This window comes from Homo sapiens, chromosome 8, assembly GCF_000001405.40.
Source record: "Homo sapiens chromosome 8, GRCh38.p14 Primary Assembly".
Taxonomy (NCBI): Eukaryota; Metazoa; Chordata; class Mammalia; order Primates; family Hominidae; genus Homo; species Homo sapiens.
Window position 1 is genome coordinate 88,552,679 of NC_000008.11, and position 23,778 is coordinate 88,576,456.

Here is a 23,778-nt window from a genome sequence, read left to right on the forward strand (position 1 = left end):
TCCACAATGAAACTGACTTTCAACTACTTGAGCAATATTTAATGTAATTTTAAACCCCTTTCATACCCTTAAAAAGATGGAAATTGATCCCTCCTTGGAATAAACTTGGTCTTCAGACAAAGCTTGATTTTTCTACAAGAAATAAAATGGCAAAAAGAAACCTTGTAAAAAAGACTACTCAGCCTGTACTTCATCTTTTTCAGTTAGAGAAAAAAACTCATGCTCTATATCCATTAAAACATACTTGATAGACCGTAAGCTTCCTGCTAAATCCTTAACAATTGAACTGTTTAAGAATCAGACCTGAAATTCTCCTCTTGTAATGCTCCACATATCTTTTCTTTCAACTTTGTTATCACCATCATCATAACATCATTAGTGATAGAATTTAATTTTATAATACTCATTAATATTAATATGTCCTATTCAATATGATATCCTCCATATTCAATTTAATTAGATGATACCATAGACTCAGCATTGTGTTTAGTACTATGTATATTTAAAATAAATATTAGCTGTAATTATTATTGCTATTTTTCTTACTCTTTTGGTCTTTTTTGAATAGTATAGTAAAGTAAGATATAATATATATGATTTAGTAAAAATTGAATATGAGACTGGGGTCCTGACTCACTTGTACCTGAATTCTGGCTGTAACTTTGGATAAGTTAACAGATGTTTTTTAGTCTTATATCCCTCAACTTAAAATGGGAAAATTGATATTAGTATTTACGTAGTACAATGACATTATTCGCCCAAAGAATTTAGCAAAGCGTTTGGTCTTAGTAAGCATCAATAATAATTAAATTAACAATAATATATTTTAGGCTCTTTTGTTTTAATGAATGTAAATGTTTTGACAGACATTGACTTTGTACCTCACACTTCTTAAGGTTTTTTTTTAACTTATAAAATTTAATTATCTTTTTAACATAAGATATAAAATCTTCAATCTTTTTTTTAACCTCTTTTCATTTCCTTGGGTCTAATCTAGGAACCAAAGAAAGGTCTACTTTCTATATAAAAATAGAAATATAATGTAGACTATATTATCGTTTCTTCACATATACAGTTTTTTGTACTGAAGAAATACTCTCCATAATCTCAGAATGCATTACAAATATTGATATTATTATATTATATTATTGATACTAATTCTATTAAAGCACTAGGTGAACAATTTATTGGGGAGTGAAAGGAAATGCTCGATATGCTATGTATCAAAATGCTATGCTATGTATTAAAATGAACCCTGCAGTACTCTATTTGAGGTTAGGGTGACAAAAAACGACCTAAACTCATGCATTGTATTTAACTGTATACTTACTGGAAGATTTTCCTCTTAGTATGCTCTAATTCATATGAGCTATTAACAATTGAATGTGTGACTGACATTGTTTTCATATTTTTCTACAAAATATTTGCATGTGTTATTATTGTCACCTTCTTGCACATGATAGTTTTAGAACATGAAACATATAGCTATTACTTGCCTACCTAATGATCATTGCATTGCAATATCTTTGAAGAGAGGGAACAATACTATATCTTACCACCTTTGTTTTTCATAAACACTTTCATGATTTGTCATACCAGTTTTAGGGAGATATAATTTACATGGCATGATATCTAACTGCGCAATTGAGTGCTTTTTAGTACTGTATATTCATTCTGGGAAAGGTGATCATGTGGCCTAAAGACACTTGCATACTTGCACGGGAACATGCATCACACCTGGAATATTTCTTTAGTGGAGATAAGAAGCTGAAATATACCCAACAAGTGGGTATATTACCTTGTTTAGCAATATCATTTCCTCTTCCAGGTTTGATGTGTACTTCTTTGTTCTACTCAAGTGTGTGTGTCATATGACACCTGACCAACCCCACTGCTATATCTGTTACTAATAGGCAGAAAATGGGGTCCTTCACCTGACGTATAAGAAGGATTATGTGCAAACAATTTTCCATGATGGCCATCAGGTGACACCCAGTGGCCACTGGAGACCAATGCTCACTGTTGAAGCTGATTTTTCTCTGTCTCATCTTTATGTGGGTAAAGTGCTATTCCTTCCAGTGCCTCTGTGAGCCATGTCTTTTTTGGCAGCCTCAACACCTACCTGCAAACTACGCAATGGGTTGACATCCTGGGACTGCCGCTCCTGTCGGCTGGCATTGTTATGATCTTTGCTATCCCCCATGCAGTAAGATTTCTTCTCTGGAGAGTTATTTTATTGGTGTCGTTTTACTGACAATTCACAATGTTATGTAACTAATCCTACTATCTAATTGTGGAATATTTTCATCATCCCCAAAAGAAACCCCATGTTCTTTAGCAGTCACTTTTTACACCTTTCTCCCCACAGCTCCTGGCAACTACTAATCTACTTTCTGTATCTATAGATTTGCCTATACTGCTTACATCATATAATTGGAATAATACAATGTGTGTTTTTTATGACTTCTTTAACTTAGCATGTTTTCAGGGTTCATGCATGTTGTAGCATATATTAATACCTCATTTCTTTTTATGGCCAAATAATGTTGCATTGTATGGATATACCATATTTGATTTATCCATTCATCAGTGGATGGACATTTGGGTTGTTTCTACTTTTTATCAATTATAAATAATGCTTATATAAACATTCATATGTAAGTTTTTGTGTTAACCTAAGTTTTCATTTCTTGTGGGTATATACCTAGGATTGGAATTGTTGTATCATATAGTATTCTATGTCTACCATTTTGAGGAACTGCCAGACTTGTTTTCAAAGAAGCTGCATCAACTTAGGAGAGTTCCACAATCAATCAATATATGAGAATTCCAATTTCTCTACATCTTCACCAACACTAATTATTGTCTATCTTTTTTATTGTAGCCATCTTAGTTTTTGCGAAGTGGGACCTTGTTTTGGTTTTGATTTCCATTTCCTTTATAGCTAATACTGGTGAGCAACTTTTCATGTGCTTATTGACCATTTATATATCCTCTTTGGAGAAATGACTATTCAAGATCCTTTGTCCATTTTTAAATTGGGCTATTTGTCTTTTAATGTTCAGTTGTAGAAGTTCTTTATTCTGGATACAAGTCTCATCCGATATTTGATTAGCAAGTATTTTCTCTACATTTGTGGATTACCCTAAGCATCTGGCAATATGCACATTGCAGATCCCCAATATTTTTTGTTGAATTGATGTTCAATACATTCCCTTTTCAGTAATGAATTCACAACCTGGTGTAAACTCCGTGACTCCTGTGATGGTTAATTTTAGTTGTCAATGTGACCGGGCCATGGAGTGCCTGCACATTTAATCAAACAATTTCTTCTGCATGTCTGTAAGGGTGATTCTGGATGTATTTGAGTCAGCAGACTGAGTAAAGTGGATTTCCCTTCCTAATGTGGATGGACCTCATCCAATTACTTGAAGACCTGTGTAGAACAAAAAGGCAGAGTAAGACGGAACTACACACGTATGACTTCTAGAGCTAAGTATCCATCAGACCAGAATTTACACCATCAGCTCTCCTAGGTTTCTAGCTTGCTAAGTGCAGATCTTAGGACTTCTCAGCCTTCATAATCAGTGGCTCAATTCCTTATAGTAAATCTATGTATGTATGTATGTATGTATGTATGTATGTATGTATGTATGCATGCATGTATCTATCCATCTAATCTATCTACTTACCTAATATATACAGACAAATTCAGGGAACATATGTGGGACTGGATACTAAGAGTATGCAATAATGGTGTTAGAGACATCAAAATTGGATCAGGCTGAATTCATTGATATGGATTCACTAAGCAGAGATTCTGCATTTAATATTACAGTTGGAGGAGTTAGAAAAGGCTTAGACAGTTTGATTGCTTTACTGAAACATGGACCAACAGGTGGCCCACAATAAATATGTTAAAATGCTGAACCTGGCTTGATTTATCATAGAGGAAAGGATTTAGAGGATTAGAGAGATTGGGATGTTAGCATGGATTTGTCATTTAAGACCTACTCACCTGTGCTGGGAGGGTCCAGAAGACATACCTATTACCACCACTGTGAGAAATAAACTCGTGAGTGGAGGCTTGGCATCCTAGAAAGCTCTGTGATCTTCTCTGCAGGCCACATCTTACAGTGGGAACTGCAGTCACTAAACTGGGAAACCTAATAGCAATGGAATAATTGGATCCTGGGATGGCAGGGCTGAGTAATAACACTCAACCATCAAAGGCAAGGTGGCTGTGGTTACCGTAATGGACAGAAAGTCAAGACAACAGTAAGAATAATTTGAGTTTTTAGAACTATGGTGTTTGCTAGTTGATCATAGGGTGTTTCTAGAAGTGAAAGACAGGAAGCTGACTAAAATCTTACTTGACCTATATAAGCAGAAAAGTTCTAGGTCAATGAATAAAAGTTCAACCCAAGGCCAGGTGCAGGGGCTCATGCCTATAATCCAGCACTTTGGGAGGTGGAGGCAGGTGGATCACTTGAGGCCAGGAGTTCGAGATCAGCCTGGCTAACATGGGGAAACCCTATCTGTAGTAGAAATAAAAAAAAATTAGCTGGGCATGGTGGCACATGCCTGTAATTCCAGCTAGTCAGGAGGCTGAGACATGAGAATCACATGAACCTGAAAGACAGAGGTTGCAGTGAGCTGAGATCATGCAACTGTACTCCAGCCTGGGCGACAGAGAGTCAGACTCTGTCTCAAAAAAAAAAAAAAAAAAAAAAAAAAAAGGAAAAGAAAAAGAAAAAAAAAGTTCAACCCAAATTATAAAAACAGAGAGTCATGTTCCCTCAAGCAATTTGCATAATTAAGCCTTTGTAGACTGAGAACTCCTTGAATGGAGAGGCTAGATCTCCTCAATGAAAAACCGAAGTATACTAAGTAAAATTTATACTGTTAAATGTTTCTTTCAGCCTTCCCCAAAGGGACCCATGGCCTTTTATTAGGGTTACTAACTGTACACTGGGGAAAAGGAAATAATCACATGTTTCAGAGACTGCAGGGAGTTGTGGCCCTCCAGTTACAGTAAGGAATTATGGGGATCAGGTGATCAATAGAGTGTTTAGCTCAGGTCTGTTTCATAGTGGGGCCAGTGCATCCCTGAACGCATCTTATGGTTATTTCCTTAATTCCAGAGTTCTTAACTGAAATAAACACACTTAGTAACTGACAGAATCCTCACATTGGTTCTATAATCTATGAATTGAGGGTTATTATGGTAGAAAAGGCCCAATGGAAGCTACTAGAGCTGCTTCTATCGAGGAAAACAGTAAATCAAAAGAAAAACTCTATCCCTGGGGAGATTACAGAGACTAGTGACATCTTCAAGGATCTGAAAGATGCAAGAGTGGTGATTCCCACTACATCTCCATTCAACACTCCTATCTTGCCTGTGCAGAAGACAGATGGATCTTGGAGAATGACAGTGAATTATCATAAGCTTACCAGTCATAACTTCAATTACAGCTACTGTAATAAATGTGGTTTCATTGCTTGAGCAAATTAATGCATTCCCTACTATTTGGTATCCAGCGATTGATCTGGCTAATGCTCCACCTCCCACCCTCATCTGTCAATAAGTACCTCCAGAAGCAGTTTTCTTTCAGCTGGCAAGGCCAGCAATGCACCTTCACAGTCCTATCCTAGTTGTATAACAACTCTCCAGCCCTATGACATAATTTAGTCTCTACAGGGATCTTGATCACCTTTCCCTTCCACAAGGTATCACAGTGGTCCAATGCATTGATGACATTATGCTAATTGGGCCTCGTGAGTGAGAAGTAGCAACTACTCTACATTTATTGGTAAAATATTTGTGTGTCAGAGGATAGGACAACTTTTATCAAAAAAATATTCAGAGTCTTTCTACCTCAGTGAAATATCTGGGGGTCTAATGGTGTGGGACATGTTGTGATAACCTTTCTAATGTGAAGGATAAGTTGTTGCATCTGCCCCCACCTCCCATAACCAAAAAAAGAGGAACAACACCTAGTGGGCTTCTTTGGATTTGGGAGGCAATGCATGCCTTATTTGGGTGTGTTACTCCAAACCATATATGGAATGACTTGAAAAGCTGCTGATTTTGAGTAAGACCTGGAACAAGAAAAGGCTCCATAACAGATCCAAGCTGCTGTGAAATCTCTTCTATCACTTAGGCCATATGATCCAGCCTATCCAATGGTTCTATCACTTAGGCCACATGATCCAGCCTATCCAATGGTAGATTGTCAGTGGTAGATAGGAATGCTGTTTGGAGACTTTAGCAAGCCTCTATAGGTTAATTGAACTCTAGGCCCTTAGGATTTTGGAGCAACACTTTGCCATCCTTTAAAGTTAACTACTTCCCTTTTGAGAAACAGCTCTTGGACTGTTATTAAGTAGAACTGAAAACTTAACCATGGCCACCAAGTTACCATGAGGCCTGAGCCTGTCATGAACTGCATGTCATCTCACCCAGCAAATCATAAAATTTGGCATGCACTGCAGCACTTTATTATTAAATGAAAGTGGTATATACAAGAACAGGTCTGAGCAGGCCCTGAAGGGACAAGTAAGTTACATGAAATAGGGACCCAAGTAAGTTACATGAAATGGCCCCCACTCCTGTTATACTATGCTCTCTCTCCCAGCCTGCATCTATGATTTCACAGGAGTTTCATCATGATAAATAATCAGTTTATAGAGGAATAGAAGTCTTGGGTTTATAGGTGATTCCAAACACTATGCAGGCACCATCTAAAAGTGGACAGGGGCAGCACTAAAGCCTATTTCTGGGCTATCACTGATGAATAGTAATGAAGAAAAATCCCCTCCAGTGGGCAGGGCACTAAGTGAACTTCAAGCACTACACTTAGTTGTCCATTTTGCATGGAAAGAGAAATGAGAAGATATTTGATTATACACCAACTCATGGGCATGTTCAATGGTTTCTTTGGATGATCAAGGACTTGGAGAAAACATAATTGGTGACAAGTAAGTCTGGGGAAGAGGTATATTGATAGGCTTATCTAAATGGGTAAAAAAACAAAGATATTTGTTTTCCATGTGAATAAGTAACAAAGGGTGGCGTCCACAGAACAGAATTTCATTAATCAAGTGGATAGAATGGCCCAGTTTTAAATACCAGTTAGCCTCTTTTCTCAGCCACCTCTGTCATCACCCAAATGGGCTCACGATGAAACTGCCTTTGCAAAATTATGACAGAGACAGAGAAAGAGATCTAATTTAACCGACTCCATCTTGCTTCTAACCTCCAAGCTGTCCTTGTTCATTCCTGGGTATAGGATGAACTAACTTTGGAAGAAACTATTATAGTTTATAGTTTAAAACAAAGAAGATAATAGCCCATTCCTAAGGCAGACCTCCTTCTTGCCTGGAGACTAGATTGCTTTTGTAGGACTAACATTAGCAACAAGATTAGAAATTATGGTTTAGGAGTCATGCAGCTGGAGACTACAAGATTCTGACCCTCCCTAAACTGCTCCTAAGACCAGTGCTTGAGATATTTTGCAGACCCTGTACTTGATGGGTCAGCTGGCACCACCCAGATCGAAAAACTGGCTCATTGAATCTTGTGACCCCCACCCAGGAACTGACTCAGCACAAGAAGACAGATTTGACTCATTATTTCATCCCTGACCAATCAGCACTCCTGGCCTACTGGCATCCCCCACCCACCAAGTTGTCTTTAAAAACTCTGCTCCCCGTATGCTGGGGGAGACTGATTTGTGTAATAATAAAATTCCAGTCTCCCACACAGCCGGCTCTGCATGAATTACTCTTTCTCTATTGCAATTCTCCTGTCTTGAGAAATCGGCTCTGTCTAGGCAGCAGGCAAGGTAACCACTGGGTGGTTACAATGAATGAAATGGTCATGGTGGCAAGGATGGAGATTATGTCTGGGCTCAGCAACATGGACTTCCACTCTCAAGGCTGACCTGGCTACTGCTACTCTAGATGCCCAGTCTACCAATAGTAGAGATGAAGATTGAGTCCTTTCTGGGGTGATAAGCCTGCTACGTAGTAGCAGGTTGATTAGATTTGACCACTCCTATATGGGATATGCAGCATTTTGTTCTTATTGGAATAGATATGTACTCTGGATGTGAATTTGCTTCCCATGCATGCAATGCTTTTGCCAAAACTATCATCCATGGACTTATGGAATGCCCTATCCAAAATCGTAATTCCACACAGCATTGCTTCTGATCAGTGAACTCATTTCACAGCCAAAAAAATGCAGCAATGGGATCATGCTTATGGAAGACACCAGTCTTATTACGTTCTACATCATTCTGAAGCAGCTGACTTGATAGAATGGTGGAATGGCCTTTTGAAGACTGAGTTACAGCACCAGCTACATGGCAATACCTTCCCAGGAAGAGGAAAGGTTCTTCAGAAGGCTGCATATGCTCCAAATCAGCATTCAATATGTGGTGCTCTTTCTCCTATAGCTAAGATTCATGGATCTGTGAGTTGGGGAGTGGAGATAAGGGTGGAACCACTCCCTATGTTCTCTATGACACGTTAGCAAAAATTTTGTTTCCTATTCCCATGAACTTATGCTGGCTTAGAGGTCTTGTTCTAAAGGAGACTGCTTCTGCTAGAAGACAAAACAATGATTGCATTGACCTGGAAGTTTAGACTGCTGTTCAGCCACTTTGGACTCCTTATGTCTCTGAGTCACTAGATAATGAATGGAGTTACTGAGCTGGTTCGAGTGATTGAGCCTAACTACTGAGTGGAAGTTGGCCTGCTATTTCACAATGGAGTTAAGGGAGAATGTAGTTGAAATACAAGAGATTTCCTGGGGTGTCTGTAAGTATTATCATACCCTGTGATTAAACTCAATGGAAAACTACAACAACCCAATCCAGGCAGGTTGACAAATGGCCCAGATCCTTCAGGAATACAGACTTGGGTTATCCTGCCAGATAAAGAACCATAGCCAACTGAGGACCTTGATGAATGCAGAGAGAATACAGAATTGTGATGGACGAAGATAGTTATAAATACCCATTATGACCACATGATGGGTAACAGATATAAAGATTAATATTCTTGAGTATTTCCTATTTGTTTTGTTATCAATATGTTTGTGAGGGCTAATTTTAAAATGTCAACTTGATTGGGCCATTGGGTGCACAGACAGTTCGTCAAATATTATTCTGGGTGTGTCTGTGAGGGTGTTTCTGGATATAATTAATATTTAAATCAGTAGACTGAGTAAAGCAGATTGCTGTCCCTAATGTGGGTAAGCCTCCTTCAATTACTTGAAGATATCAGTAGAACAAAAAGGCAAAGTAAAAAGAAATTTCCCCTGTGTGACTTCTTGAGCTGAGACACCAGTCTTCTCTTGCTGTTGGACTAGAACTTAAACCATCAGCTCTCCTGCTTCTCACATCTTCAAACTCAGACTAGAACTTGCACTATTAGCTCTCCTGGTTTTCAGATCTTTGGATTTGGACTGGAACTACTACATCACTAGCTCTCCTGAATCTCCAGATTGCTGACTATACATTTTGGGACTGCTCAGCCTCCATAACTGTATGAGCCAATTCCTTATAATAAATCTCTATCTATCTATCTATCTATCTATCTATCTATCTATCTATCTACCTATCTATCATCTATGTATGTATGTATGTATGTATGTATGTATGTATGTATCTATCATCTATCTATCTATTTATCTATCTAGCTATCATCTATCTACATCTCTAGCTTTTTGATAGAAAAGATAGATGATAGATAAATAGATAGATTATATGTATAATATTGGTTCTATTTCTCTGGAAAACCTTAATATAGCATCTATTTTCGGGGTTTTATTTACCTCCTAAGAACCATTGTATGTTTTCTTCCCTAAGATTTTAAAAAAGATAAATTTTAGGGAGCATATTGCCTACATTTATAAAAGAAACTTTCAGCTTCCTTTGTAATACTAGTTGACCAAGTTACTGTGATTGATATGTGAATGAAGGTACTATGTAGAACTTCTGAGAACCTTGAGATAGCTGGCACTCTAGCAGCCATCTTATGGCAGGGTAATCAAGGCTATAACCTAGAGTTTGCAGAGAGATGGACTGGAAGATAACTTGGTCCCTGATGCTGATGTCTTCATGGAGCTATGAAACCAATCTAAGCACCCTACTTAAGTATTTATTTCACTTCAGAAAAAAATTCTAGTCATGCTTAAGTCACTGTTTTGAGGGGGTCTATATTACTTTTATCACTGAATCAGCATCTGAGAAAATGCATCCAATACTCTTGTCTTATTTCTAGTAAAAAAAGCTTTTGACTAGTTAAAGGTTAAGTAGCAAAAGGGCAGTTTTTACTGATTTTACTCAAAGTTCAAGACTTTTCATATAATTCTTCATTTAGTCCTTGTTGGGTAGCAGCACACTGTATTTAGTTTTGTATTGATTCTTAATAGACAAAGTGAAGCTTTGTCTATTAAGGAGTAAAATGGGGGAGGTCGTAAAGGGGTAGAATGAGAGAGACAATGAGAAACTTTCATCAGGTGAATTAAGATAAAATGAAGTCCAATTTTCTTATCTTAAAAGGTCTCCTGAAAATAAAAAAAAAATGGTCCCTGGCAGTAAGTTTTAGATTAACAAGATGCAAAAATCAATATTGCATCTAAGTTTGAAAATTGGGCAACGTGAGGGATTTGTCTTTTCCTCAGTGTTCATGTAATCAAGATTTTCTTTGGTTACTGTACTTATTTTATATAAATGACATCCACTTTTGTAAGCTTTATGTATGTTATACTTTGATTATCTTAAGAACTCTGAGAATTAAGAATTGATTTTCCACAAAGGTGCCAAGAACATACATTGGGGAAAAGACAGCCTTTGAATAAATGGTTCTGGGAAAACAGGATATCCATATGCAAAAGAATAAAACTAGATCTCGTCTTTGAACATATACACAAATCAGCTCAAAATGGATTAAATATTTAAATGTAAGACCTTATACTATGACACTACTAAAGAAAACTTTGGGGAAGTACTAAGGACATTGGTCTGGACACAGATATTTTTGGGAAGACCTCAAAAAGCACAGACAACAAAAGCAAAAACAGGCAAATGGAATTACATCAAGGTAAAAGCCTTCTTCACAGCAAAGGAGACACCATTTAAAAAGTGAAGAGATAACCTACAGAATGGGAGAAAATATTTGCAAACCATCCATTCAGCAAGGGATTAATAACCAGAATAATAAGGGACTGAAACAACTCAATAACAAATAATCCAATTAAAAAATGGACAAAAGACCTGAATAGACATTTCTCACAAGAAGATACACAAATGGCCAACAGATATATTTAAAAATGCTCAAGTCACTAATCATCAAGGAAATGCAAATCAAAAACACAATTAGTTATCATCTCATCCCAGTTAGAAGACCTATTACCAAAAACACAAAAAATAACAAATGCCAGTGAGGATGCAGAGAAAGGGAATGTTGATGCACCACTGGTGAAAATGTAAAGTAGTGCAGCCAGTATGAAAAGAACTGTGGAGGTTCCTCAAAGAAACTAAAAATATGATCCAGCAGTTCTGCTTCTAGGTATATATCCAAAGGAAAGAAAATTAGTATATCAAAGAGATATTTGCACTCCCATGTTTACTGAGCACTATTCACAATAGCCAAAATATGAAATCAACCTGAGGGTCCATCAACAGATAAATGGATAAAGAAAACATGGTGTGTGTGTTTGTGTGTGTGTATGTGTACATATATATATATAAAAAATACACATGTGTATTATATATATACATATGTGTATTTTATATATACACATGTGTATTATATATATACACAACTCAACTGTAGAAAACTCAATATATATGAATATATATAAAATCAATATATAATATATAAAATCAATGTAGTATATATGATATATATAAAATCAATATATATAAAAATTAACTCAATATATATATCATATACATATACACACATATGATGAAATATTATTTGGCCATAAGAAAAATGGAATCCTGTCATTTGTAGCAACATGGAGGGAGGTCATTAGAGGTCATTATGTTAAGTGAGATAAGCCAGGGAAAGAAAGACAAATATTGCATGTTCTCATTAGTGCATGTTCTCATTATATATGGGAGCTAAAAAAGTGGATCTCTTGAAGGTAGTGAGTAGGATGATGGTTACCAGAGGCTAGGAAGGGAAGGTGAGTAGGGAAGGAATAAAGAGAAGTTAATGGTAAAAATGCAAAATTAGAAGATGTGAGTTCTACCCTTAGAGATGGAGATTTAGTTTAATTCTTCTTCATATAGATATTTAATAGTACAATAAGGATATTACAGGTAAAAATAATTTGTTATATATTCAAAACAGCTAGAAGAGAAGAATTGTAATGTTCTCAACACACACACAAAAAATGAGGTAATGGGTATCCTAATTATCCTGATTTGATCATTAAACATTATACACATGTATGAAAATATCACATGTACCTCCAAAATATGTACAACTATGATATATCAATAAAAAACAATTTATTGTCCCAGTCTTATCAATGTCTTGAAACTAATTTGCTAAGATCTAAAATGCATTGATTGCATATCCATTACAAAAGTTAGAACTGGACAATAAATATTAAAACCATTCTGAACATGTTATATGTATGTTAATTGTGAGATTGAATTTAAAGATGCTGCTTTTATTATTTAGTAAACTTTTTTGTAATTAACTATTTCTTGAGTATCTCCAGTATGCTGGATGCTGTTAAAGCAATTAAAAAAACAGACAATATTGTTAGCCTATATACCATGCATCGTTTATTTTCTTTTGAGTGACTTTTTTTTCTAACTTTTTATTTTGAAGTAATTATCGATTCACAGAAAGTTGCAAAGAAGGCTACAGGGAGGTCCCATGCATGCAGACCCCCTAGTAAGGAAGACTTAGCAGCCTCCCCTATTGTTAAATTAGCATCTTGCCTATGTATAGCACAATACCAAAACAAGAAAACTGACATTGGTAAAACTACAGAACTTATTCATAATTCACAGGTATAGATACAGTGATTATTATAAATGTATATATTTCTTTGAAATTTTATCACGTGTAGCTTCATGTAACTTACCGTATTTAAGATAGAGACTGTCCTATCATCAAATGGCTCCTTCGTTCTACCCAACTTTAGCCATCCTTACACACACCCATCTTAACCCCTGATAACCACTAACCTGTTTTCCATTTCTATGGTCTTGGCATTTCGAGAATGTTACGTAAATGAAATCATTCACTAGGTAATCATTGTAGGTTGGCTTTTTCCACTGAGGATAATTGCTCTGAGGTTCATCCAAGTTGTTTTATGTATCAGTAGTCTGTTCCTTTATATTTCTAAGTGGCATTCTGTGGTTTGGTTGTATCACAGCTTGTATAGCCATTCACCTGTGAAATGAAATCTGGATTATTTCCAGGTCTTGGATATTAAATATAAAACTGCTATGAGGATTCATGTACAAGTTTCTGTGTGAACATAAATGTCATTTCTCTGGGATAAATTCCTAAGAGTGCAATTTTTGGGTCTTATTTTAGGTCATTTTTTGTTTTAAAAGAAACTGACAAACTGTTTTCCAGAGTGGCTGTATCATTTTACATTCTATATATGAGTGATTTAATGTCTCTGCTTTGCCAGCATTGGGAGTTTTCACAAGCATTTATTTTCGTCATTAATATAGGTGTGTAGTACTATCTCATTTTAGTTTTAATTTGCGTTTCCCTGATGGCTAATGATATAGAAAATCCTTTTATGTGCTTATTTGCCATCTGTATATCTTTTTAAGTGAAACATCTGTCATGTATTTTTCTCATTTTCTAATTTAATGTGTGTTGTTGTTTACATGGTTTAAAGCCTTCTTTTTATATTCTAAATATGTGTTAGATGTATGATTTACAAATATTTATTATCTCCCAATCTGTAATTTACCTTCTCTTTTCATGGTGTTTCTAAAGAACAAAGGTTTTTAAAATTCATTTCAATGAAGTCAATTTATACTCTTAATTAGCTGCTAATTTAATAAGATTGACTTGGGTATTTCTTATATAGTTTAGTGAGAAACTTATACTGTACTTACTATTTCATCAGATTGCTTTTTCAGCAATATTTCTATTATAGAATGAGCAAAAATTATATTCATTAAAAGAAACAATTTTGGCTGTATCATAACTTCTCTTAGAAAATATGCCACCCTTTCTATATCACTTTTCAATAACACTTATATTTTAATCCTTGGAAATTCCAGTTTTTACACGTGGGAAGTATTAAAACATTGTTTTGTTTTCTAAAATAGAATGATTGTCATTGATTTTGTTGCCCTTTGGTTTTGCCTCACCTATCAGTATTGGTAACTTGTGTACTACTGAAGTATTTTACTATTAACTCATAGTTAATATCTAAAAACCCTCAGGCCATTGAAGATAAATTATGTAAAACTCACTTGTATGTCCTGAAAAATGTCATACCAAAGCTAATGGTCTGTAGTTTGATTTGTGCTTCATTTAACAAACATATATTGAAGGCCACAAAGGGCCAGATACTGTTTTAGGACCCAGTGAACATATTGGTATTACACACAGATAATAAAAATGGTTTGCAAAATATAATTTGAAGCATATTTTTAAATAAATTTAAATGGAATGCATCAATAGATACTAAGTTCTGCTGTTGGCTTAATCTGTAAATGATATACTATTACGGACAACTTCAGGTTTTATTTTTAATTACCTAGGTTACATGTCTGTCTCCATATAAGCTCCAGCATTTTCTAAGGTATTTATTTAGAGATTTTGTTATTTTGTTTTCAGAGATGCATTTGCACTGAGTCATGATTTTTTCCCTAATGTGTTTATTACTATTCTTCAGAGCAAGTATGTATTAATATGATACCAAAAAGTAAGCTACTAATTTTAGGGATCCCCTCATCTGGCTGAGACGTCATCAGAGGAAGCCAAAGGGTAATATAATGATCACCTGTAGGCAACTTCACAATATTCTGAAATCATTTCTGGTAATATGATATGATATGTATTATATTGTCCTTACTGGAAAAATACTACTTCATGAAAGAATGACGTAATGCAAAAAGTGACACTTATGGTCAGAAAAACATTCTTCTAGTATCACCTCGTTGCTCTCCTCTTAAAATAATAAAGAAAACTACAGGAATCAAAGGTTTCTACATTTCTTTGACAGGTCAATTTCCTCAACACACAAGTCTGATTTTTAAAATATGTAATAAAATAATGCCTTGCACCAAATATCTTTCCTTCTTCAGATTCATCAAATGAACATTTTCCAGCATGTATAACCAAACCTGCAGTGCCCTTTGCCGTAAGCAAATGTGTTTGGTCAATGTTTCCTGTTTTCCCCAAAAGCGTGTAGAGTTCTGAGAAGGCTTGTAGCCAAGAACTTTATCTTTTACCTAAAGTTTCTTAAACTTGTAAGAAGACTTAATTTTCCTTTAGACGGAAAAATTTCAGTTTCAAATTATGTATTAACAGAATGTGTTGTTTTTCCAGTATCTACATCAATATGGTGAGTAATGATGTATTTATTTTCACATATTTGCCATAGAAAATGTAATAATACTGGAATATAAACAGCTCAAATTTGCTGTGTGCCAAGGATTACGTCAAGTGCTTTTTAAATATAATGTTAGTAAGTGTTCATACCAATTTTATGTCATAGGTGTTCTTAAAATCCCCATTTCATGTTATTGGAACTGTAGCTCAGCATGTTAGGCTCCTTGATTAAAGTTATACAGTTCATAAATGTAAACTCAAACCAGAGTAATCTGATTCTAGGCAAAGTACAATTAAAAGGATATTGAAAGCTAAAATATGTGAGTTAATTACTAGGAAATATAAAATATTGCAATATTCACCAAAATAAAACAACTCCTAAATGTCTTTCTCCCATGTTGATGCAGTTTCTATTTTTAAACAGAAGCTACCCAATGAGTGTAATCAAACTAACTTTCCGAATTTAAAAACATATTCCAGGAAAAAGCACAAATTGGAAGTTTTGTATGGAAAGCAGAAAAAATGTTTGGGGTAAAACTCAAATCAGCAATAAGAAGGGTGACTAATACAGAGTCTATCCAGGAAACTAAAAGAAAAGTGTAAGGGAGGCTAAGGGGGGCATCTTGTACATAAGATAGAGTGCACACCCTTATATAAGCATCTAAGAATATGCAGAGATGGGGAAAAATTAGCAAGAATCTTTGTGGGAAAAATGAACTATGATAAAACTTGAATATTTACTAAAAAATTCAAAAAAATGAGATTTATAGTGTGTCTCCTAAGTAGAGATAAAAAAAAAAAGAAAAAAAAGTCAGTGGAAAAATTTACTGTCAACAGCAACTTTGCACAACTTCGGTGTGCATCATTTAATCTGGACTGTGCAATGTGGTGTGATAAAAAGCTTTCAGCAACTGAAAAAAATATGTATTTGAGGGCATAGATTTTATTAGAAAAGTATAATTAGTTAATTCTAGGGGAAATAAATTGCTAGTTATACATAAAATAACAAAGGAAAACATACAGTGTATAGAAGAAAAAGTTGTTCTTGCTGTTAGGCAAAACCACGTATTAGTTCGTAAATATCAAAAAGAATATTATAGAAATTACATGTAGTGAAATATTGAAGAAAGACTCAAATGAAATCGTGATGTTAAAATAGGAGATCATAATAATAACAATAAAAAAGATAAGTGAAGATAGAGTAGTGTTATATACACTTAGATTAATTGTTCAATAACTGCTTAAAGCCTGATGAAATCTAGTATTAGATGGTAAAAGTGGAAAATGGTTTGTTTAAATACAGTGGATGAATAAAAAAGAGTATTATCTAATATTTCCCATGTTATGTGTAGAAAATTAATGGCATTTAAAATAGAATGTGAGTGGAGTCTTGTGAAAAATAATGGGTCACAAAAATTCTAGATCTAGGAGCTAAAAAGCTCTAACTATTGAATAAAATGATTAAGTAGAAAGATTATTCTTTATTCCAGGAAACTAGATGATTATATGATGATATACTTGTGACCTGCAGCAGAAAATCAAAGCAAATCGATATGAAGTATTCTATGTCTTATGTGGCTTCTCATATCTGGCCTATGGTCCTTCAATTTTTTTTCATTCCCATTAAGTATTTATATGAAGGCTCAGGCTCAGTAAGGAATTTTAACTTGTTAGAACCATAAAATATTGTTTTACCAAGCTCCTTTGACTTATCATTTTAAAAGATCTGTCTGTGGGAAAGAAATTATTCTAACTTATCCAGGGTACTGTTCTTCTAGTGTTGGACAGGAGACAAGCATTTTAGCAATTAGGCTGTGTATATTTTAAAATAAAATGTCATCAAAGGTTGGTACGACCAGCCCTGCCCTGCTTTGAACTGCGCTGCAACTTCCTGAGTTTTCCTGCACTGATCTTTTAAGACCTAGCACCCTGTGTGTTTTCCATCATATTAGAGTCATTTAAAAAACATATCTGTTCCTTCAGCTTCACCAAAAGCCTCAAAGGAAGTAACAAGTTTTTGTTCATCTCTGTATATACAAAGCCTATAAAGTAGCATTGAAAAAGTATCTGAGTTGAGTTGACCTAACTGGATGATCCTGAGGTCAAAGCACTGAAGCGCTTGTGTTTTGGGTAGAGGCTTGTCTGAGAAGATAATAAGAGCTAAGCCAGGACATGCAATGAAATAGAAGAATTTGTTCTACTGTTGCAGAAGTAGTGTCACCCAGAGTAAGTCTTGTAGGATTTGGGGCTATAAATTGCTTTGCGGGAGTTATTGTTCATCTGAAAACTGTCATTCTTAAAGCCCTGAACTTATTAGGTAGATACAACACTTCCTTCTAAATATTTTGGATACATGAAAGTGATATCCTGCCTTTTATCTAGGCAAAAGTGTATAAGCAGCAGAAGAGTTTTCCTTCATAAGTGATTTGCATCACTTCTTTGGAAGGGAAGACCACATCTGCCATGCTGAGGATTTTATGAGGGTGCTGTGACTTCAAAATTTCTGAAAGTCTAAAAACCCTAGAAGAAAACCTAGGCAATACCATTCAGGACATAGGCATGGGCAAGGACTTCATGTCTAAAACACCAAAAGCAATGGCAACAAAAGCCAAAATTGACAAATGGGATCTAATTAAAGAGCTTCTGCACAGCAAAAGAAACTACCATCAGAGTGAACAGGCAACCTACAGAATGGGAGAAAATTTTTGCAATCTACTCACTGACAAAGGGCTAATATCCAGAATCTACAGTGAACCGAAACAAATTTGCAAGAAAAAAACAAGCCCATCAAAAAGTGGGCGAAGGATATGAACAGACACTTCTCAAAAGAAGACATTTATGCAGCCAAAAGACACATGAAAAAATGCTTATCATCAGTGACCATCAGAGAAATGCAAATCAAAACCACAATGAGATACCATCTCACACCAGTTAGAATGGCGATCATTAAAAAGTCAAGAAATAATTGATGCTGGAGAGGATGTGGAGAAATAGGAACACTTTTACACTGTTGGTGGGACTGTAAACTAGTTCAACCATTGTGGAAGACAGTGTGGAAATTCCTGAGGGATCTAGAACTAGAAATACCGTTTGACCCAGCCATCCCATTACTGGGTATATACCCAAAGGATTATAAGTCATGCTGCTATAAAGACACATGCACACATATGTTTATTGTGGCACTATTCACAATAGCAAAGACTTGGAACCAAGCCAAATGTCCTATAATGATAGACTGGATTAAGAAAATGTGGCACATATACACCATGTGATACTATGCAGCCACAAAAAAGGTTGAGTTCATGTCCTTTGTAGGGACATGGATGAAGCTGGAAACCATCATTCTCAGCAAACTATCGCAAGGACAAAAAACCAAACACTGCATTTTCTCACTCATAGGTGAGAATTGAACAATGAGAACCCTTGGACACAGGAAGGGGAACATCACACTCCGGGGCCTGTTGTGGGGTGGGGGGAGTGGGGAGGGATAGTATTAGGAGATATACCTAATGTAAATGATGAGTTAATGGGTGCAGCACATCAACATGGCAGATGTATACATATGTAACAGACCTGCACGTTGTGCACGTGTACCCTAGAACTTAAAGTATAATAAAATACATACATATATATGTGTGTATATATATGTGTGTGTGTGTGTGTGTGTATATATATATATATGTATATATATATATATAAGAAATCTGAAAAAGAAAATTTTTTGTAAGTCATCCAGAGGGTTCCTCTGGGGAGTCTGATTTTCTGGAGAGAGAGATAGGTTTGATCCTAGTCTGGAATCTGATAATAAAATGCATCCTTTTGTTCTTTGCATAGTGTTAATAGGCTTATGGAAAACTACATGAACTTTATTTTTAAGTATACAACACTATTCACTACTATTGCGTGGATAAATCCATTTTCTTTATTCTATTTGAAAAGTCAGATTTTTCTTAAAATGCACCCAAAAAGACATTTTAAAGTATTTAAGTGTGATTAGAGACTAAGCATGTTATAAATAAGTTAAAATAGGATATCCAGCTGTTCTATTATTCTCTTTCTTCCTTTCTTGAGTCTTACTCTGTCACTCAGGCTGGAGTGCAGTGGCGTGATCTCGGCTCCTCCATATCCCGAGCTCAAGTGATTCTCATGCTTCAGCCTCTTGAGTATCTGGGACTACAGGCGACGCCACCACACCTGGCTAATTGTTGTATTTTTAGTAGAGACAGTGTTTCATCATGTTGACCAGGATAGTCTCAAACTCCTGTCCACAAGTAATCCGCCCACCTTGGCCTCCCAAAGTTCTGGGATCACAAGCATGAGCCATGATGCCCAGCCTATTTTATTCTTTTCTTTAGAGAGCAAATATTGCTACTTACTCATACAGCTCCTGTGCATTTAACATTTACACAGTGCAGTAAAATTTCTCTTTAAAATTGTCTAGTAAAACATAGCCACCTCCTAAAAACCAGCTTGTACTGTTCTCCACTGTCACCATGGTAGTCTCACTGGATCTCAAAATTTCTCATCCAGATCACTTTCATTTTCTGCCTACTCTAAGTCTACTGCCAAAAAGGTTGCTCTTAGAATTTTACCTTCCATGAGATCTTCTTTTCATTTTAATCTCCAGCAATACCAACCTATTTGTTATGGTCTGAATGAATCCTGAAACTTCTTGTCCACATACTTTGACTTGCTGCTTCCTCTGCCTGGACTGCCTTGCCCCACTTGTCTGTCTGAGGTCAAGTTTACTATAATTTTTTAAATTCTATTTCCTGTATTCAAAACAAATTATTTCCCTTTTATCAGTCTTGAAGTTTTGTATGCATTATATTGTAAAATATAATTATATTATCACCTATTGATACAAGTTATAATTATTGATTTATACCTGTGTCTATGCCACCCAGATACGACTTACTATGTTCCCATTTTGTGGAACATATTGATTGATGCCAATAAAGGTATATTGAAGGGGCTTTAATATGTTTTCCATCTGTCCACACATCCATCACATTCAGTATCTTCAGCAGGTTGCCAAACTTCAGCCAACAGGGATGAGTCCCATTACCAGAACTTAGTTTGAACCACGTCAGGGTAGTAAAAGTGCGCATTATTGCTCCTACTTAAAACATTCTCTTTCCTCTTCTTCACTTGACAAAATCCTTGTGCTTTAAATACCACATTAAATGTTACCTCTTCTACTTACATTTTCCACAATCCTTATGTAGAATTAGTCCTTTCACTCATGCTTGCTTCACATAGAACACGAACACTGGTAAAAATTTTTACCTACTTTGCTAACATGTAATCTCAGAAGACACAGAATTTTTAAATTGCTTTTTAAACATCTACTATGCACCTTAGTAATGTCTAGTAAGGTCTTGATAATAGTGGAAGAGACAGACAATTAGGTCTTATCATGTTCTGACATTTCTCAAACTCTCTTGCAGTTAGGATAGGACAATACCTAGTTTTTATCCAATGAACTATGATTAAATGTGATGTGGCTTCCTTTGAGTCAAGTCAGTTAAAAGCTGTTGTGCCTCCTGCAATTCCCTTGTTGCCTCAACAACCTTAGAAGACATGTTCAAATGGTTGTATCACAGAATGGAGGGAGCTAAAATCCTTCGGTAACTTAATAGGGAAGTTTCCACCAACTGGCTTAGAACTTTCTGTAAGAAATACTCAAGCATCAACTATGATTAGGCACACTTATAATTTGAAAAAATAAATGAATACATTAATAAACTTAATAAAATTTTGGAGCCACTGCCTTCAGAGGTAATGTAAACAATAATGAGCTATAAACGTGATATCAAACTTTACTTTGAAATAGAGGCCATCAGATGGAGCCAAGATGGCTGAATAGGAATAGCTCCAGTCTAGAGCTCCCAGCATGAGCGATGCAGAAGATGGGTGATTTCTGCATTTCCAACTGAGGTACTGGGCTCATCTCACTGGGGAGTGTTGGAAAGTGGGTGCAGGACAGTGTGTGCAGTGCATCCAGCATGAGCCGAAGCAGGGTGAGGCATTGCCTCACCTGGGAAGTGCAAGGGGTCAGGGAATTCCCTTCCTTGTCAAAGAAAGGGGTGATAGATGGCATCTGGAAAATCGGGTCACTCCCATCCTAATACTGTGCTTTTCCAACGGTCTTAGCAAATGGCACATCAGGAGATTATATCCCGAGCATGGCTCGGAGGGTCCTATGCCAATGGAGCCTCACTCATTGCTAGCACAGCAGTCTGAGATCAAACTGCAATGCAGCAGCGAGGCTAGGGGAGGGGTGCCCGCCATTGCCAAGGCTTGAGCAGGTAAACAAAGCAGCTGAGAAGCTCGAACTGGGTAGAACCCACCACAGCTCAAGGAGGCCTGCCCACCTCTGTAGCCTCCACCTCTGGGGGCAGGGAATAGCCAAACAAAAGGCAGCAGAATCCTCTGCAGACTTAAATGTCCCTGTCTGACAGCTTTGAAGAGAGTAGTGGTTCTCCCAGCACACAGCTGGAGATCTGAGAATGGACAGACTGCTTCCTCAAGTAAATCCCTGACCCCCAAGTAGCCTAACTGGGAGGCACCCCCAAGTAGGGGCAGACTGACACCTTACACGGCCAGGTACTCCTCTGAGACAAAACTTCCAGAGGAACGATCAGGCAGCAACATTTACTGCTCACCAATATCCGCTGTTCTGCAGCCTCCGCTGCCGATACCCAGGCAAACAGGGTCTGGAGTGGACCTCCAGCAAACTCCAACAGACCTGTAGCTGAGGGTCCTGACTGTTAGAAGGAAAACTAACAAACAGAAAGGACATCCACACCAAAACCCCATCTGTACGTCACCATCATCAAAGACCAAAGGTAGATAAAACCACAAACATGGGGAAAAAACAGAGCAGAAAAACTGCAAACTCTAAAAATCAGAGTGCTTCTCCTCCTCCAAAGGAACGCAGCTCCTCACCAGCAATGGAACAAAACTGGATAGAGAATGACTTTGACAAGTTGGGAGAAGAAGGCTTCAGATGATCAAACTACTCTGAGCTAAAGGAGGAAGTTTGAACCCATGGCAAAGAAGTTAAAAACCTTGAAAAAATATTAGATGAATGGCTAACTAGAATAACCAATGCAGAGTAGTCCTTAAAGGACCTGATGGAGCTGAAAACCAAGGCACAAGAACTACGTGATGAATGCACAAGCCTCAGTAGCCGATTCGATCAACTGGAAGAAAGGGTATCAGTGATGGAAGATCAAATGAATGAAATGAAGCAAGAAGAGAAGTTTAGAGAAAAAAGAATAAAAAGAAATGAACAGGCCTCCAAGAAATATGGGACTATGTGAAAAGACCAACTCTACGTCTGATTGGTGTACCTGAAAGTGACAGGGAGAATGGAACCAAGTTGGAAAACACTCTGCAGGATATTATCCAGGAGAACTTCCCCAATCTAGCAAGGCAAGCCAACATTCAAATTCAGGAAATACGGAGAATGCCACAAAGATACTCCTCGAGAAGAGCAACTCCAAGACATATAATTTTCAGATTCCTTAAAGTTGAAATGAAGGAGAAAATGTTAAGTGCAGCCAGAGAGAAAGGTCAGGTTACCCACAAACAGAAGCCCATCAGATTAACAGCCGATCTCTTGGCAGAAACTCTATAAGCCAGAAGAGAGTGGGGGCCAATATTCAACATTCTTAAAGAAAAGAATTTTCAACCCAGAATTTCATATCCAGCCAAACTAAGCTTCATAAGTGAAGGAGAAATAAAATCCTTTACAGACAAGCAAATGCTGAGAGATTTTGTCACCACCAGGCCTGCCCTAAAACATGGAAGCACTAAACATGGAAAGGAACAACCGGTACCAGCCACTGCAAAACATGCCAAATTGTAAAGACCATCGAGGTTAAGAAGAAACTGCATCAACTAATGAGCAAAATAACCAGCTAACATCATAATGACAGGATCAAATTCACACCTAACAATATTAACCTTAAATGTAAATGGGCTAAGTGCTCCAATTAAAAGACACAGATTGGCAAATTGGATAGAGTCAAGACCCATCAGTGTGCTGTATTCAGGAAACCCATCTCACGTGCAGAGACACACATAGGCTCAAAATAAAGGGATGGAGGAAGATCTACCAAGCAAATGGAAAACAAAAAAAAGGCAGGGGTTGCAATCCTAGTCTCAGATAAAACAGACTTTAAACCAACAAAGATCAAAAGA

The 23,778-nt window shown here is 36.5% G+C and overlaps 2 long non-coding RNA genes across 5 annotated transcripts in view, besides 1 other annotated feature; one reads left to right on the plus strand and one right to left on the minus strand.

Annotated features, from left to right (window-relative positions):
* LOC105375630 (uncharacterized) overlaps nt 1-23,778 on the plus strand; it is a 559,756-nt gene that overhangs the window by 224,835 nt on the left and 311,143 nt on the right. The window lies entirely within an intron of this gene.
* LOC105375629 (uncharacterized) overlaps nt 1-23,778 on the minus strand; it is a 113,196-nt gene that overhangs the window by 66,979 nt on the left and 22,439 nt on the right. The window contains exons 2-4 of one of the 3 annotated variants that reach the window (XR_001745651.3): nt 13,227-13,434; nt 3,239-3,436; nt 67-132 (exon numbers count right to left, since the gene is read on the minus strand). This is a non-coding gene — a long non-coding RNA (uncharacterized LOC105375629). Of the gene's footprint in view, nt 1-51; nt 133-3,238; nt 3,437-13,226; nt 13,435-23,778 lie in introns of those variants that run through there. The other 2 variants (XR_928383.4, XR_007060999.1) reach the window with 2 other exon arrangements.
* Nucleotides 12,972-13,590: an enhancer, noted in NCBI's record as "OCT4-NANOG hESC enhancer chr8:89577879-89578497 (GRCh37/hg19 assembly coordinates)". NCBI's record gives its function as "activates a minimal SCP1, AML or CMV promoter by ChIP-STARR-seq in primed H9 embryonic stem cells {active_cell/tissue: H9 hESC(primed)}" and the evidence as "EXISTENCE:reporter gene assay evidence [ECO:0000049][PMID:30033119]".